This window comes from Homo sapiens, chromosome 11, assembly GCF_000001405.40.
Source record: "Homo sapiens chromosome 11, GRCh38.p14 Primary Assembly".
Taxonomy (NCBI): Eukaryota; Metazoa; Chordata; class Mammalia; order Primates; family Hominidae; genus Homo; species Homo sapiens.
This window is the reverse complement of record NC_000011.10, coordinates 84,913,999-84,930,823: the sequence shown is the minus strand read 5'-3', so window position 1 is coordinate 84,930,823 and position 16,825 is coordinate 84,913,999. Positions and strand designations below refer to the sequence as shown.

The 16,825-nt window shown below is 35.5% G+C and overlaps 1 protein-coding gene across 26 annotated transcripts in view; it reads left to right on the top strand.

The window, feature by feature from the left end:
• Positions 1–16,825, top strand: part of DLG2 (discs large MAGUK scaffold protein 2) — a 2,173,362-nt gene that overhangs the window by 697,550 nt on the left and 1,458,987 nt on the right. For 5 of the 26 annotated variants that reach the window (XM_017017268.2, NM_001300983.1, NM_001377968.1 and 2 more), the window contains exon 1: positions 7,403–7,747. The exons of the other annotated variants lie outside the window; for them this stretch is intronic. In XM_017017268.2, the coding sequence (XP_016872757.1) occupies positions 7,706–7,747 (42 nt within the window). In that variant the 5' untranslated portion in view covers positions 7,403–7,705. Of the gene's footprint in view, positions 1–7,402; positions 7,748–16,825 lie in introns of those variants that run through there. 26 annotated transcript variants of the gene reach the window in all.

Genomic DNA, 16,825 nt, shown 5'->3' with positions numbered 1-16,825 from the left:
TAGTTATAGTTTTGCATTTGTTTTTAGATGGGAAAGTCTTGCACATGAATATAAATTGTCATAAGGAGGATCACGAAGAGAGAAAGATCCAGTCTTGATGAGAGGGGAACATACACTGAGAGGAGCAAAAGAAGGAAGGGCAGTCACTGATTTTTCTTTTATTTTGCGGTAAAAGTTGAGGACTTGTGTGTTGGCTTTTGTTTTCTCTGTTTGTTTTGTTTTTGTTTTCTTCTTAGTAGAAGGCAACTATCTACTAAGTGGAATGAGGATGGAGGAAGGTGTGAGGTTTGAGGAGAGTGGAGAATGTTTGCAATCGCCTTTCAAAAGAGGATGGAGGAGGTTGTTCAAAGAACAGGGTAGGATTATCAGGCAGTGTTGGAGCCTTTTTGAGGTTTTTCATTAATTTTTTTCCAGCTGCTCACCAATCTGTCAGTTCATGAAGAATAATTAACAATACTATGTGCTCAAGGGAACTATTTTCCAGCTCATAGTTGTCCTTTACTTTTGAAGTGCTTAATGTGGGGTTGAGATGAATTTTAGGCACAAAAGGCAATAAGAGAACAATACAAGACACTGTATAATCAGGTACTAAATTGGGCAATACAAATAATACATGTTGAAGGCATTCAGAAAAAAGACTCTGTAGGGGCTGATCTCATAAAAAGATAGCCTCTGATCCAACCATTAAGGAGTAACAGGATTTTGAGATGGTCACTCCCTGAAGGCTTTTTTTCTTTATTGGTTAAGATATGTCCATTCCATTGTCCTTTCAGTCTTTTAATTTAGAATGTGTGATTGCTTGTGAGGCACTCATTCTTAGACTTTTCTCTTATCCAGAAGAGTAGGCTTTTTACACTCTGAAAGTACATGTAGAACTTCCTTGGTACAGGGTGGTGAGTAATTGTGGTAAGGAATTTAAAAAAATCTTTGCAAGTATGTATTCCTAAATCTACATTTACTCTCAGGCTGTGCGTTCAAGTGGTTCTCATTAAGGCCAGTACTACCCTCTTTAAATATCTTACTGGACATTAATTTATATTAGATACTTGATAAAATTTCCTGAGCCTGGAATCATACTTCGTTTTATGTATTTAACACAAAGCATCTCTTGCATTAAGTTGATATACACTGAAGTTTTCAATAACGCAATTTCTCTATAAGAAATTCCGTTCTGATATAAGGGAAGAATGTTCTTTGTTTTACTCAGAACTTTACCAAAAGTTTTCAACAGTTCAGAATATTGTGTCACTGATAGCAGTGCTGCTTTTAAGCTTTGTGTAGCCAATTCAATATACCTGCATCTGTCTATACATGTGGGTGCAAGCACCTGCCCATTTAATTATGCCATTGATGGAATTTTGCCTGAGTATTGCCATTGAAGTATACGTTATTTTAATTTCAACTTTAAGTTTAATTCTTTATATCATATGTTATGTTGAGTTTTTAAATTCCATGTAAAAGTAGGTTATATTATCATGGTTGTAAGTAGAATATGAAACATATTTATATATAAAAGAATTGTTTTGTGTGAAAGAGTTAATCAACCACTGTATAGGCACTGGGGTCTTGAGAAATTTCCTCTGGGCTTTACAATTAAAAGACTTAGTATTGGAGTTCCACCTCTAGCTTCTGTATAAATCTGAATAATTTGCTTAATCACTGTGTCAGTTTTCCTCACTGGACACCAGGGGATGGTGGCAGTATCTTTAGGGCTTATGTAAGGATCAAAAATCAAATGGGATATATCTTTACTTGTGAGCTGAGGCAAGAATACCCCTACCCCTAGGCATTCACAGTAATATATATATATATATATATATATATATATATATATATATATACACACACACACACACACACACACATATCAGAGAGTATTATAAGTATTGCATAGCCTTCTTGGCTTGTTAAATTTATATCAATTTTTAAGATAAGAAATGAAACAAAATGACATCCAATTTTATATATTTTATACACTTCCAGGTATATAAATGCATTATCTTATGACTTTAGGGATACTTTTGTGGAAATTTTTGAGAAGCCCTGAAATGATTTTTAATTTGTAAATTGGGTATTATTATCTCAGGAAAATCCCAAGGAGGATGCAAGAAATTCCAATAATAGTAAATTGATTCAGGGTTTATAATGAGATTGCCAGACTTTCTGAGAATCCTCTTTATGGCTGACTGGAAATACTAGGGAAGTTCTAGATGATCTACAAACCCCTGAAAGAATCGTCTAGGTATTTAAAAGAAGCCAGTCAAAAGGAATGATAGCACCTTTTTACCTTCACCTTTACCTCTATCATTTCAGTTCTCTTTTCACTAAAAACTACCACTTATTACATTTACCATGTTCTAGGTAATGGGACTAGCAATGTGCACAAGTTATATATTTGACTTCTCACAACATCCCTATGAAGTAGATTTGTTACCTTTATTTTACAGAGGAATACTCTGTGGCAGAGAGAAGTTATGTAACTTACCCAAGGTCACACAGCTGGCAAGTGCAAGAAAAGGAATTTAAACCAAGGTCTGTTTTTATTTTATTTTATTTTTTTACTCAAAGGCCCAAGAGCTGTTAGAGTTTTTAAGAGAGAAAGGATTCTAAATTATCAGGTATTATATAGTTCCTTTCTCAAGTGGCATCCATCTCAGAATCTTTAGCCTCCACTCTAAAATTATCTCATTTACAACAGAAATTACCTTCTGTTTGTTTTCTATACTTTCCTCTTCTATAAAGTTAATTTTTATACCTGTGCTCTGGAGTTGATATCTTCCTATTTTTTGTGAGAGCCAAAGCCATCAATTTTCCTCTCTTTCTTCAGAGCAGTGATTCTCAAACCTTAGCTTACTTGAAAATCACCTGGAGGGCTTGTTAACACAGATACCTGAGCCACATACCTAGTGTTTTTGATTCAGTAGGTCTGGGGTATGGAGAATTTCTATTTCTAACAAATTCCTAACATACACTGATGCACCTAGCCCAAAGACTGCACTTTGAGTACCACTGCTCTAGACTTTAGAGAAAAAAGTCGGCAATTTACAAGCTAAGAAATGGTGTACATTTTTAAATGGTTAAAATAATCATCATCATAATATTTTCTGACATGTGAACATTATATGAAATTCAATTTTAATGTTTATCAATAATAAAGTTTTATTGGAACACACTATGTAATGTCTGTTTAAGTAGATATTTATGTAGGCTACTTTCTCTCTACAACATTAAAATGGAGTAGTTGTGACAGATCGTATGGCTTACAAGCCTGAAATATTTATTATCCGGCCATTTACAGAATCAGTTTGCTGACCCATGCTCTAAGGCAGTAATTCTCAATCCTAGCTGGACACTGGAATCACTTGGGGAGCTCTATAGAATACTGATTCCTGATTCCCACCCTCAGAAATTCTGACTTAATTGGCCTGTAGTACAATCTAGAGAATCCTTAACGTATAAACTTACCTAATTTGTCCTATCTAAAGAAAACAAAACAAAAAGCAAGGTATCTAACAAAACTACTCTATCTACCTATAAGAACTAGATAGTCCAATCTCCTTATTTTATAGATTAGGAAAAAGATGTCTAGCAATATGAATTATTTGTCCATATTAAAAGAGGGTGTTGCTGTTATTGTATTTGTAACAAATTGTAGTTGCATATTGCTTTAATATTGAAAACTTTTTTTATAATCCAGGTTATGTTTTTTAAAGTATTACATGCCCACTGTTAAAAATACAAGCCAAATATATGTAGATAGGTTTAAATTCAGTGCATAAGGTGAAAATCAACTAGTCCAATTTTCTTGATAGTCACTTTTTCCTTTTGGGAATCAAGGTAGTTGGCTTGTATTTAAGGGCTATGCTTTAAGAAAAACATACATACACACTAGAATTACATGCATTACTGGGAGATGTTCACATTCAGAGAGACACTCAGATCTAAGATCAATTCAGAAATTGATAGATTCTTATTTCTCCTCTCACAATCATTCCCTGACTTTTGCTCATGGAGTGCAATGGGGTAAATCCCCTCACAGTTTCTAGTATTTCCTTCTTCCTTATATCTGTATTTCTCTCATTTACTGACAAGGGATAGTTGGATTGGATAAGTTGTTCATTGTGAATGATTTCCTATAGTATAGAGGTATAAAATAAAAACTGTCATGCATCCCTTCCTAAGCCAATAGCAACACTGTTAAAATTTCACACATGCACAGACACACACCCACACCCCACACCTCTCCCTACAAGTGTATGTAAATATACAAATACAAATAGCCTCACACAATATCAGTTCTTTTGCAAACTTATTTTTACATATAATATTATATATAACTTGGACATCTTTCCACATAAGAATATGTATATATATCTTATATTCCTATGTTATGAATAAACTGTAATTTAAAGAAATAAATTCCATACTGATGGATATTTTAGATACACATACACACATATATCTGGGATAAATTCCTGAAAGTTGAATCACTACATCAATCATAATTTGCCTCTTTAAATATTTGATAGATAATTCCAAACTACCTTCCAAAAAGTTTTTACCAATTAATGCATCTCCATAAATACTTGATGTGTCAATTTTAATAACCTTTTCTAACTTTTATGTTTTTTCTTAAATATGAGGTTGAGCATTTTAAATGTGTTTTGTGGTCTTTTTGTGAATTGCTACTTTATGTTCTTTGAGTGCTTCATTCAGTTTTATGTTTTCTCTTAGTGATTTATGAAAGTTCTTTGTATATTAAAACAATTCCCAATGGAATGTGTTGTAAATAGTTTCCCAGTTTGTTGTTTGTCATTGTGTATAATTTACCCAAGGAGAAGTTTTATATTTTCATATAGTCACAATTGTCTATCTTTTCTTGCATGGCTTCAGGCTCCTGTATTCCAATATTATGCAAAATCAAATCTGTGTTTTCTTCTAGTATGTTTACAGTTTCAATTTTTATATTTAAATCATTGATCCTTCCAGAGTTTATTTTGATGGCAGGGTTCATCATTAATATTCTCATTGGACACTATGAGATACATGTTATCCCCATTTTACAAATGGGAATCTGGCATGGAAGTGATTTTCCAGGACTACTCACTTGCAGTATGGAAGCCTAGACTTACTCTATTGCCTACAAAAATATGCATAGGCAGTTATAACTTTCTTCTACTATAGCAAATGTTATTATTCTTGCAGATATACTGTTCTGATGAATTCCTTGCCTTAAAATATGGAATATTCTTTAGTGGGACATTGCCATTGTAGTTAATGCCCCATTTCCTGCATCTATAAAATGAGAATAGTAAGTTGGCTATCCTAGTCCACTTAAGAAAATTAGGCAGTAAATCTACAGGTATAGCACTGGGATTTTGTAGGCTAGACAGGTATACTCAGGTGTTTTAAAGAAGTTTTTAAGGCTAAGGGCCTTTTTAAAAAAATGTATACACATTAAAATGGTATCTAAAGCCCTGTTAGAAGTCCTCCCTGATAGCCTTGACAGGGAAACCTACATGTACTTCTTCACCTGTAACTTGTTTCATTTAATCCTTGCTTGCGAGCTGTTCTGAGATTTGTAACATTTTCCAGTTCTTTTTGGTCTCTCTCTCCTGGGCCATCCAAATATCCCGGCAACTACTAAAATAATATTAATAAAATAGGTAAATTTCATTTTCCCAGCTTCTAATGGAAAAAAATGGTACTTATTCACAGGTTGAATAAAGTAGGTTTTTAAAAGTTCCTCTGAATCCTCAGTGGAGAAAGGCATTTTTAAGTTCTTCTATGTTTTGCATGGCATTGAGTTGTTATATTTGGGTTCATTTATTAGGAAGAGCTGCAGGAAATGTGACCTGCTATAACCTTGGGAGGGGAAAGTGTTATTAACTGAAATACTCAGTTTTGCATTTAAAGTCCGTAGAAAAAGTTGTGGAATGATGAGAGCTGGGCATCCATGTCGATTTTTTAATGTCCTGGAAGTCACTGGTTGTGTTGTAAGTGCTTATAATTTGTAAATTACCTAGGCTCCTAAGACAGACGGAACTGGAAATCAAAATAAGTGGCTGCCTTCTCTTACGTTGCCCAAGGATCTCCAGCTTAGGATAAGACTGCCTTTTTCTTCCTAAAAAAAGGCACAAACAATGACAGCCCAAAATAGCTATTTAGTCAGAACTGACGACACTTTCTGAATGCTTGTCATTAAGAGAGAAATAGAAAATCCTGCTTTTCTTCTTCCTTTAATTTCTCTCCCTGAAATACCTTTCTTCCTCCTGAAGCTGCCTCACCTCATTGCCCAGGAGAAATGCCCAGTAACTCTGATGGTGCTTCAGCACTTCTGCAGGCTCCAGAGGGGAGGTGGCTTATGCAAAGCATATTAAAGAAAGATCCTAAAAGTCACTGCAGCTTTTTCTAGTGAGTTATGCTGATCTTCCTTGTTGCTGGAAGCTGATGGGGAGCATCGTGGCAAAGACATAACCACTTTTTTTCCTCCCACTATTTTTGCTGCAGTGAAAACTGTTCATTTCTGCTTGCATTTTGCCAGATAGCTTTAGAATTCTAGCTGAGAATCGGCTTCCCAAGGCTGGAAATAAGGGTATAGCACCCTAAATTGTACTTTGTCCTTTTGATTAAGTAAAAATTGAGTTAATTTGCAGCATCCGGTGCCTGACAGGAATGACAACAGATAGAAGGATCTGACGGATGTTTTTAATTTTTTTTTTTCCTTACGGACTTATAGGGGCAGAAGCTTTTATTTTTCTCTCTTGCTCTCTCCCTTCTGGAGCCTGCTGAACATTTTACATTCAGCAGCAGTTGCTACTGAATCTGAGGTTATGTTATCCCCTGAAATCTTCTGTCTCCATTTCAACCCCATCTCATTACTGATTGTCATGTACCAATAAAACATAGTTTTGGAAAATTGGCCACATCATTTTATTATGGAGTCTGGCAACTTTAGATAGCTCTAAAAGATGTAACAGGGCAGGGAAGTAGGAGAAGGTGGTACTTCTCAGTCCTTTAACCACAGATCACCCCAGAGGAACCCAGTTCACATTTTAGGGGACTTTATATGACAATGATCCTCTGGTCCTGGTCCTGTTCCACATGGAGAAGCAGAATGAGACATGCTTGCGGTGATTTGTAGTATTTGCCAAACAGGGTGCTGCACCAGAATAGCCTGGAATATAGTGCAGAGCTCATATTAAACCTCCAAAGGAAGAAGGGTTTCCTCTTCATTTACAGTCTGCGATGCGATCCCATTGTAAAGTATTTAATAGGATAACACCGGGGCTCTCCAGAAATATAAGTAACTCATTGGTTAAATTTCAATTCTTCACCTTTCCCCCCCTCCTTCCTGAGTGAGCTCATTCCCCCCTCCTTCTTCTTCTTCTTTTTTTTTTTTAATCCAGTGATTTAAAATGCTAGAAGGAAAAGCAACTGAGGTCTTAACTTTCAGACGCTGAATTCTCATCTAATTGAAATTACTGGGCATAATGCTATATATAGCCAATGAAGAGATTTTGAGCTCTCACTCAGTGCCTTCAAGACATGTCGTTTTGTAGTCAGAGAAAACAGAGATCAATGCATTTTCAAACTGACAGAGGGAACGGATGCTCTTTAGTAGCACATGCCCAGGATCGTGTGTGTGGGGCTTGCGCTGTGCTGAGAAGCTGAATACCGGTCCATATGCTCCTTATTTACTGCAATGTTCTTTGCATGTTACTGTGCACTCCGGACTAACGTGAAGGTAAGAGGAGGCGAGCCGGCAACTGGGCACAATATACATGTTAAACCAGCTGCAGAAAATGTCTACCTTGTGTAGCTTCAGGACTTTTCGGATTGCTGGCTGAGCAGGCAGATTATTACAGGTGGTTGCAAAGGCTTTGTTTTATTGTTGCCGTGCAGCCTCGCTGGGGGAGCATGTTGGAACGCTGCTGTGAAGTGACCTTCAGGTTTAACTGTTTGTAATTCAGGTTCACGCTCATAGTTGGGGGGTGGAGAGGGGGGAAGAAAAGATGAAAATTATTTAGGTAGGCCAGAACCAAGAAATCAGAGAAGGTAAAAAGCTATAAAGCATGCTTTGAATTATGATTTTGTCTTTCTTTTAAAAAGTGCTGTGAGCTTCCTGTGTTCTTGCAGCTGAATTGTTTAAGAGCCGGGGGGTTAAATCTAGTGACTGTAATGGCATTAGATGTGCTCTGTGGGATACCTGACCATCCTGTGCATATCAACAAATGATTTTCACTGGAAATTGGTGATACTGATTATACAAATCGTCAGCTCTGGGTGGGCTGGTTGCTTCAGCTGCGTGGGCGCTGCTGTCCCGCTGTTGTCACCCCACTGACATTCACTTGCTGTAGCTAATGAGCCTCTGAAGTTGAGCCCAAGTTTGGGAGATTTACCCCTTGTCACGAACAGGGCATTATTATTGAGAAGGTTTTCTGACACTGTGTTCATTCAGCACTGAGCCGGCCAGACCAGCTGTGGAATTCCAGTTGCATAATTTAAGTGAATTACATCCTTGGTTAACATTTTAAGCTTACATTTCTTGGAGAAAGAAGTCCAAAAGGAAAGTGATTGCCTTTGAGAAAAAATAATTAAGAAGCAGTTAAGACAACCTAAAATAGGAATCTTTTTTTTTTTTTTTTAAAGTCAATATAAAGTGTTTCCCCTTTTTATTTTACTAGGGGAGTGTTTTAATGTGTCTGGGTACTAAAGTTTCATTTTCTGTGTTTGCAAGTTTTATTAAAGAACTCCCTGCTGCTCACTCTTTTGTAAGCCTTTCTGTTTTCTATTTGAATTTCAAACAGGTAGGTATTTATGTTTTGATGACCAATTCTTTTACAACTACAACCCGGAAGCATTCTGTGGATCATTTTGCAGAGTTCTATAGAATTTGCTTTTTACTACTTTTAAAATGAACTTTAGCAGTCAATTTTCCTCCATGTATAAGATGTAGACAGTAAACAACATGAAAAAAATAATTAAAAATATGAAAAGTGTGCCCAAATATCATCTTGGATTTTCTCTATTATCATCTTCTGTTCCAAAGTATGGGTATGACATGCATTGTTTTGTAAACTCAGTAAATTGTAAATGTTTTCCCTCCTCATCTTTTTGAAAGGAGAAAAGTACTTTATTCAGCGGAAGCTCCATAAATAATTTAGATAAAGAGATAACAATTGTTTTGCTATTTCATTGTTATATTTTGGAAGTGCAGGAAAACTTAAGTCCAAAGTTCCTTTCATAATGGGCTTTGGGAAATTTCTTTTTACTCTTACCTACTAACAGTCGTCTTTATGAATTTAGCTTTACATTTTTCTCATTTAAATTCATAAGCAAAGTAATAAAAGCTTCACTAACAATATCTTAACTAAATTCAGATTACTTTTGAATAATAAATTCCTAGTACTTTGGCTAATCTGTACTGAGATATACTTCTTATGTATTGATTGATAGAAATTGAGACCATATGCATTGCCACAAACAGCATATATAACCTTCCTTTGAGTAGATTAGTTTTAATTTGAATTATGCTTCTACCTTTTCAGTAATTAGCTCTTGCACTTCCTTAGATAATTCATAATTTTTTAGGGTTATCTTGTCTTTCTGAGACAACAAGTTTTGCCAAAGAGTTTGCAGTTCATTTGCGGTCTATTATTTTATCACATTGGTGCAATAAAGTTTCATCTAATATTTTTATCTATTTTGACTTTTGTTTTATTTTATTTATATTACATTTTAAAAGTGTTTGCTTTTATTTCTATTGTTACAAGAACTACTTATCACTTGGTTCTGTTGAATTCTCTCTTATGGTATATAGTTTCTCATGTTTTAACATGATTTAACATGATTCTTGTTACAGTTATCCAAAACTTTAAGATGGTTAAAATTCAAAGGATAGAAACATTTTTCGTCTTTTTTTTCTCTGCACACAATAGACCACTAATGTCATGATCTTTTATTCTAGAATAAACTTTTTTGTTAATAGGACCTTTATAAAATATAACAAAGAATTTTATTGAGAGTGGTATGTTTTAAGATATTTCATATATTTTTATGTAACAAGTCATTAAATCTGGACCACTAGTATAGACACACACACACACATATTTACAAACATCAGAATATGACTCCTGGGTCACCATTTATTCATTCATCTATTACAATTTTTTGAATGACATCTATGATTTATGCACTATGTTAGAGTCTTGGAAACTAGGATAGATAGAAACAGTGCTTGCTTTTAAGAAGCTTCCAGTCGGAAAAAGACACAGACTATAAACAAATAAATGCTTTGAAGTATTTCTGACCCATAATGGACATCTATGCAGGGTTTGTTGTAGGAGAAAGAAACAAGCAAACAAAACAAACAAACAAAATCACAGGCTAATTTTACCTGGACTAATCAAGAAAGGTTTTGCTGTGAGGTCACTTTTAAGTTGAATCTTGACAGCTAATGGACTTCTGCCAAGCATCTTGGAGTAAGGAAGGCATGCTGGGTAAAGGGAGTGGCAAAAGCATGGAGCTAAGAAGCAGAGCACTTCAAAGAGCTGCAAATAGTTTGAAATGGTTAGAACATGGGTTCTTACAAGGCTGAAGAGTGAAATAATGGGTAAATCATAAAAGAAAGATAAACCAATGCTGCTTGAATTGACTGAGTGGTCATCACAATCTAACACTTTGTAAATTGTTTTACTTTGCTACCTATTTTCTAGAAGGAGAGCTTTCAACAGAAGGAAATGAAATGAATGAAAACTTCTAATCAATGTCCATTATTTATGTCCTGTGTTTTCTTGTTAGTTTTAAATAGAGTTTGATAAAGGTTCACATTACATTGGCTTGGGTTTTTATTTTAACTTTTTACAAAATATGATTTAGTTTTACAAAATACAATTTAGTTTTAGTCTACTCACTAAAAAGAAGCAATGTGATCATCACGTACACAGTTCAGTTTCCATCTGAAATTGTCTATATTATAGGAAAAGTGCCTCTTTAATGAGAAAATATGCAGGAAGCTTGTTGCATCAGATGTCTGTATCATTTTGTCTTTGGAAATGGATCAATTTTTGAAGGTAGTGATACTGACGATAATTTTCTAAATAACTTTATCTTCCTCATCGCACTATTTCCCTTTTTTCATTGCTACTACAAACATACCCACATGTACACTCACAAAACCACAATCCCTGAAATATGAATTGCAAGTATTAGACCTATAGCACAGGTAAGAAAACTAAGGTAGAGAGAGGCAATGACTAGTTACTCTTTTCCACAGTGTGTCAGAAGCAGAGTCTCTTGAGCGGTGACTTACTACTCTTTAGAGTAAATCCTGCTGCCTACTGCATAAATTCAAGAATTCTGCTCCTTTATTTTTAAAATTTACTGAGCGTAAATACAATAACTTTTAAGAAAAAGAGTGTAACAGAATGGTTTTAAAGCATGGATTTTTGGGATTTCAAAAGAACTACTTTGAACTTGTCTTCCCCATTTATTGCATAGCTTAAGAAAGTTTAGTTTTTTCTCATCTGTGAAAAAGGTTTAATAATAGCTCTTAGCTGTTATAAGCAGTAAGTTAGATAAGGCATGTGAACCCTATAAAAAGTTCTTAGACTATAGTAATAACTCAATCAAATTAACTCATCATTGAGAAAATGAAGACCACCAAGTAGCAGTAAGGCTTCAGAGTTGCCTTCAATAAGAATCACATTAGAAATTGGGCTCAATTAAAATATGGCTATAATTAATTAGAAACACATTTAGGTATAATATTTCCTGTCCCACCATAATAACCATCACAATGACATATATGCATATTCACATGTTAGCTCCATGGAACCTGGAGTTCTAGTTGTTTTGTTCACCTTTATATCATCAGCACAAAGAACAATGCTAAGTACACAGTAGGTACTCAAGAGATGCTTTAAATGAATGCATTAAGCGAATCTCACATTTCTTTTTTATTCACTCAGCTTCTTTTCAGATTATTTGTTTATCTTAATGCTGGTTAAATTATTTTGAGAGAAAGAAAAAAAGGAAGAAAAAACCTCATAGCCTTTGAAGTCATATAGGCTTCAGTTTGAATAGTACTGGATTTGCCAATCGCAAACCACTTACACTAAGTCACATACTCTTTTGGATCTGCTCAGCCAGGTTGTACAGCTAGTTTGGAGGGAGTCAATAATTCACACTAAAACAATTTATTGAAGCCTAAACACTCTAGAATTCAGACATTTATCATGCTAATTTTCACCAGGTTTATTCAGTGAAATTGCTCTTTTCCAAACACCCCACCCTCTCTGCCCCGATCATTTTCTAGAGTTGTTTTCCTGTGATGGGAATCCTTTCTCTGCATTGACCATATTTGTCTAAATTCTGTCCTTCCTTTAATAAACAGTACAGGGTGTCTATATCTATCTTCGAAGAACTGGAACCCAGTCACACTAACTCCAGTGCTTTATCTCTCCTTTGACTTAGTGAGTACAATTTCTCCATCATTTATGGCAATACATCTTATACTGCCTTATATCATAACTTGCATTATTATTTTATACTGGTAGTTAATTTTGCTTATGTTTGGGTATTGCCCTCACCCCAACTAAATTTTAAGAATTTTGAAGACAGGAACTATAAACTATTTTCTTGATTTTTTCCTTACAGTTTATTTATATTTAGGAATTCAAAAAATGATCAGTGGACTAATTGAAAGGGAAACTTCCAGAAACTCTGTCTCCTTATGCTGCTGACACCTACTCTTTGCTAGATCCTATGATGTGTCCCACATATTGATGCTTTTAATAAACACATAATTTGTTGTAGGCAGGACTTGGAATTATGAATCACAATGTATGGACCGTTCGAGTAACACCTATGGCTCATAACAAGTCAGAGATGGTACCTCTTAGGGTTCCAGTTGAATAACTCTCTCTTTTAGGATACCTATAACGTATTAGTTCCTTACTGGACTCCTTTAGTATGGTCTCCAAATGGTTGTGAGCCATTTGGACACCAATTTGGTATATTGGGTTTATAATATCTAAGCCTACTTAACGTGTTAGATTTACAATTTCTAACAAAGCCCATTAACTCAAAACTTAAAAAATTAAACAAGGAGTTAATAAGTAAAGGATAAAACAGCACATTGAACAATAACAATAATAGCTACCATTTGTCAAACTCTTAGTATGGACCCTAGACTACATCAACAAGTTTGAATGTATTTTCTCAAAATGCTTCCCAATGACCTAAGATTTATGCATTTTGATCATTATTATTTTATATATGAGGAAACTAAAGTTTAGAGAACACAAATAACTTGCCTAATATTACAAATATTAAGTGCCAGTGAAGTCACCTTCTAAACCAAGTCTGTTCCACTGGAAACCTTTTTAGCAATCTACCTAAATAGATAATATAGATATGAAAACTACAATGAATATGTTACAGACATCTCAAATCTTTTTTTAAAATTAGGTAAGGAATTAAGTAAACAATAAAATTGCATATGTCTTACATAGCATGACCTTGCCATTCCTTTTCTTGGCTTCTTTCTAATACATGTTGGCCAGAGTCAGGCCTGAGGCTTTCTTTTGTATTCTGCGTTCATCCTTCACCAAATATTTGATATAGTACCTATTACGGGTCAGGCACAGACCTAGGTGTTATAAATAAAGGGTAAAATAAAACAGACAATAATCTCTACCCTCATAGAACTTATTGCTAGTGAGGTAGGTAGAACATAAGACAGTTAAGTAAAATACATAGTACATAGTGATAAGTGCTAAGTCAAAAAATCATGGAAGGATATTGGAAGTGTGCATTGGGGGATGGGTTGGTTTAGAGTTTTAGATAAGATGGTTAGTGAAGGTCTCACTGAGAATATGGCTTGGAGTAAAGACCTAAAACACATAAACAAAATATACATGTTGGAAAAGGTAGCAGAAAGTGCACATGCAAAGGCCCTGAGCTAGAAGCCTGCCTGGCATTTTAGGGAACATCTAAGAAGCCAGTGTGGCTGAAGAGAGAAAGGTCAAGAGCATGTCACAGTGAAAAGATCGTGTAGGACTTTCCCAGTGAGATGGGAAGCCAGCTGTGTTTTGAACGGAAGGGTCACATCATTTAGCTAACATTTAAATAGGATCACTCAGGTTGCTATGTTGAAAAGAGACTTTAAGGGAGCAAGGGCAGGAGCAGAGAGACCAGGTAGAAGTTCCTGCAGTAATCCAGGGGAAATATGTTGAAAACTTAGATCAGATGGGTGCCAGTGGGACTGGGGACAAGTTGTTCAATTCTGTATATAATTATAATTTTTGATATCTATCTTCTTGTCTTTTTCGACACTGATATTGAGTCCTCCTTAGGTGTGGTGTGTGGGTTTTCAGCTCTGCTGTATTAATTAGAGAAAAATACTTTGATAAGTAATTACCATGCCATTTTACTGCTTCTTTTTTTTTTTTTTTTTTTTTTTTTTTTTTTGAGACGGAGTCTCGCTCTGTCGCCCAGGCTGGAGTGCAGTGGCGCAATCTCGGCTCACTGCATGCTCCGCCTCCCGGGTTCACGCCATTCTCCTGCCTCAGCCTCCCAAGTAGCTGGGACTACAGGCGCCCGCCACTACGCCCGGCTAATTTTTTTTTTGTATTTTTAGTAGAGACGGGGTTTCACCGTTTTAGCCGGGATGGTCTCGATCTCCTGACCTCGTGATCCGCCCGCCTCGGCCTCCCAAAGTGCTGGGATTACAGGCGTGAGCCACCGCGCCCGGCCTGCTTCTTAATCCTCTGAACATTTTTAGAAGGTAGGTTACCCTAGATTTGAGTCATATGTATACGTTCATGATTTCCTTTTCTTTTGGTCTCAGTTCTTCTGATCCTCAGGGGATGCTGCCCTAGTTCTTAAATGAGTCAACTATAAGCTACTTGAGGGCAGGAACTGTGTCTCTTATATGTATTTTTGTACACATTGCCTTGCACATGACAAATGATTAATAAATATTTGAAAATAATGGACTGAATGAATGAATGTTAGCCGTTCAGAAAGCTGGAAATATTTTATAAAGTACCTCTTTGGACTGGATGTGTTACCACCAAATAAGAATAGATGCACAACAAGGAGAGTTTCCTCTCTAATGAAAAATTAAGATTAATTAATTAATCTCTAATTAATTTCCTCTCTAATGTTCATTATGATAGTATGTTTCCAGCATCAGAATCTTAGGAAAGCAGCCTGGGAATCTGAAAATGACCCTAGGTAAACCATTCATAAGACAAGTTTGGAAAACACTGTCATATAGCATATGTTTGGAATTCTCAAGTGTGTTCAGAAATTGCTATGTGTTAATAGTTGTTTAAGTAACATATAGACCCAAAGATTTTCCAAATGCTGGATTGCAACATGCAGCAAGAAATAAATTTAAAATTGCAACTCAGTATGTTTTAAAAAGCAATACCTCCTTTAGCAAAAGTTATGCATTGTGATATTTTCCGTTCCAACTTTTAACAATTTCTTTCTTTTTTATAATGTTGGTCAAGATTAAATGTATTATAATCAGAAAAATAATGGGGGGGGAAATACAATTCATATTGACCCGCTTAAAAGATTCCTTCATTAACCTTCTTTATTGACTTTGAAGGGGTGTAGAATGGGTCATAACTCATAATTTGAAAAACACTGTAACATGTTCCCTGCCTTAAGAAAAATACAACCTCAATTAGGAATATGCAAATGAAAAGATGATGAATTACAACAGTCAGACAACACTAAGAAGCCAACACTAGGGCTTCTCCATATAGCCTGGTTCATTTGCCGATTAGCATATTCATCTGGGAATTCATAGATCGGTGCTTACTTCCCTGTCCCTGGCCTTTGGGATTTAGCCTACCCACTTACATACCTCAATATTCTTAATAATAATAACTAATGTTTGTTTAGTATTTATGATGAGTCAGGCACTGTGTACATCACTCATTTCATCTTCACAATAACCCCAAGAGAAAGTTTTCTATTAAACCTATTTTTACATGTGAAAGGACTGGGCCATGGAGGTTTAGAGCCTTGTTCCGGGCCTCACAGCAAGTAACTGGTGAAACCACAATAAATGCTAGGCTCAGGCACCAATGCTTAGGACAGGCCAGTGCCTCGAAAGGACTGCTTTGCATCCATTTGGTTTTGATGACTTCATTGGGCATTCCTCACCCTTATTAGACTTAGGTTCCCCTGACTTGAGTGTGTCACAGTTTCTTTCATTAGCCAGGGACCAGAAGAATTCTTATGGGCCTGATAACCTATATTCTCCCATGGATCTGGGGTCAGGGTTGGGGTGCTTATACTTAGAAGACTTCATAACAAATTGAAGTTTGAGCATCCGTTGAAAGAAATCTATTTGCTAATATCTGCACTTAGTATTAATGCAGTGAATATGATAATAAAACTCCCCACGATGAAGTGATATTGTACTGTGTCTTGGGGAACCTAGCTCTTGAGAATTGACAAGAGAAAAGTAGACAATAAAATAAAAAGTCATTTGACCATGGGAGGGTCTGGCCTTAAATATTTCTCAAATTTCAGCTGGAGGTTTTGTTTTTTCTTTCTGTGTAGACTTTGGCACTTTCAAAATAGGCAGAATTTGAAAGAAGCCAAGGGAATACCTTTCTTTAAAATGAAAGTTAGATGACTAGTGGGAGGCTTATTTTGAGTTTTTAAATTTATTTGTTATTTATTTCTATAGGTATAACTAGATTTACAACTTTAAAAAGGTACACATACATTTATTTATTTTAAAAGTGTCTAATTCATTTTTCAAGGAGTACTTACATTGGAAGAGGAAACTGGC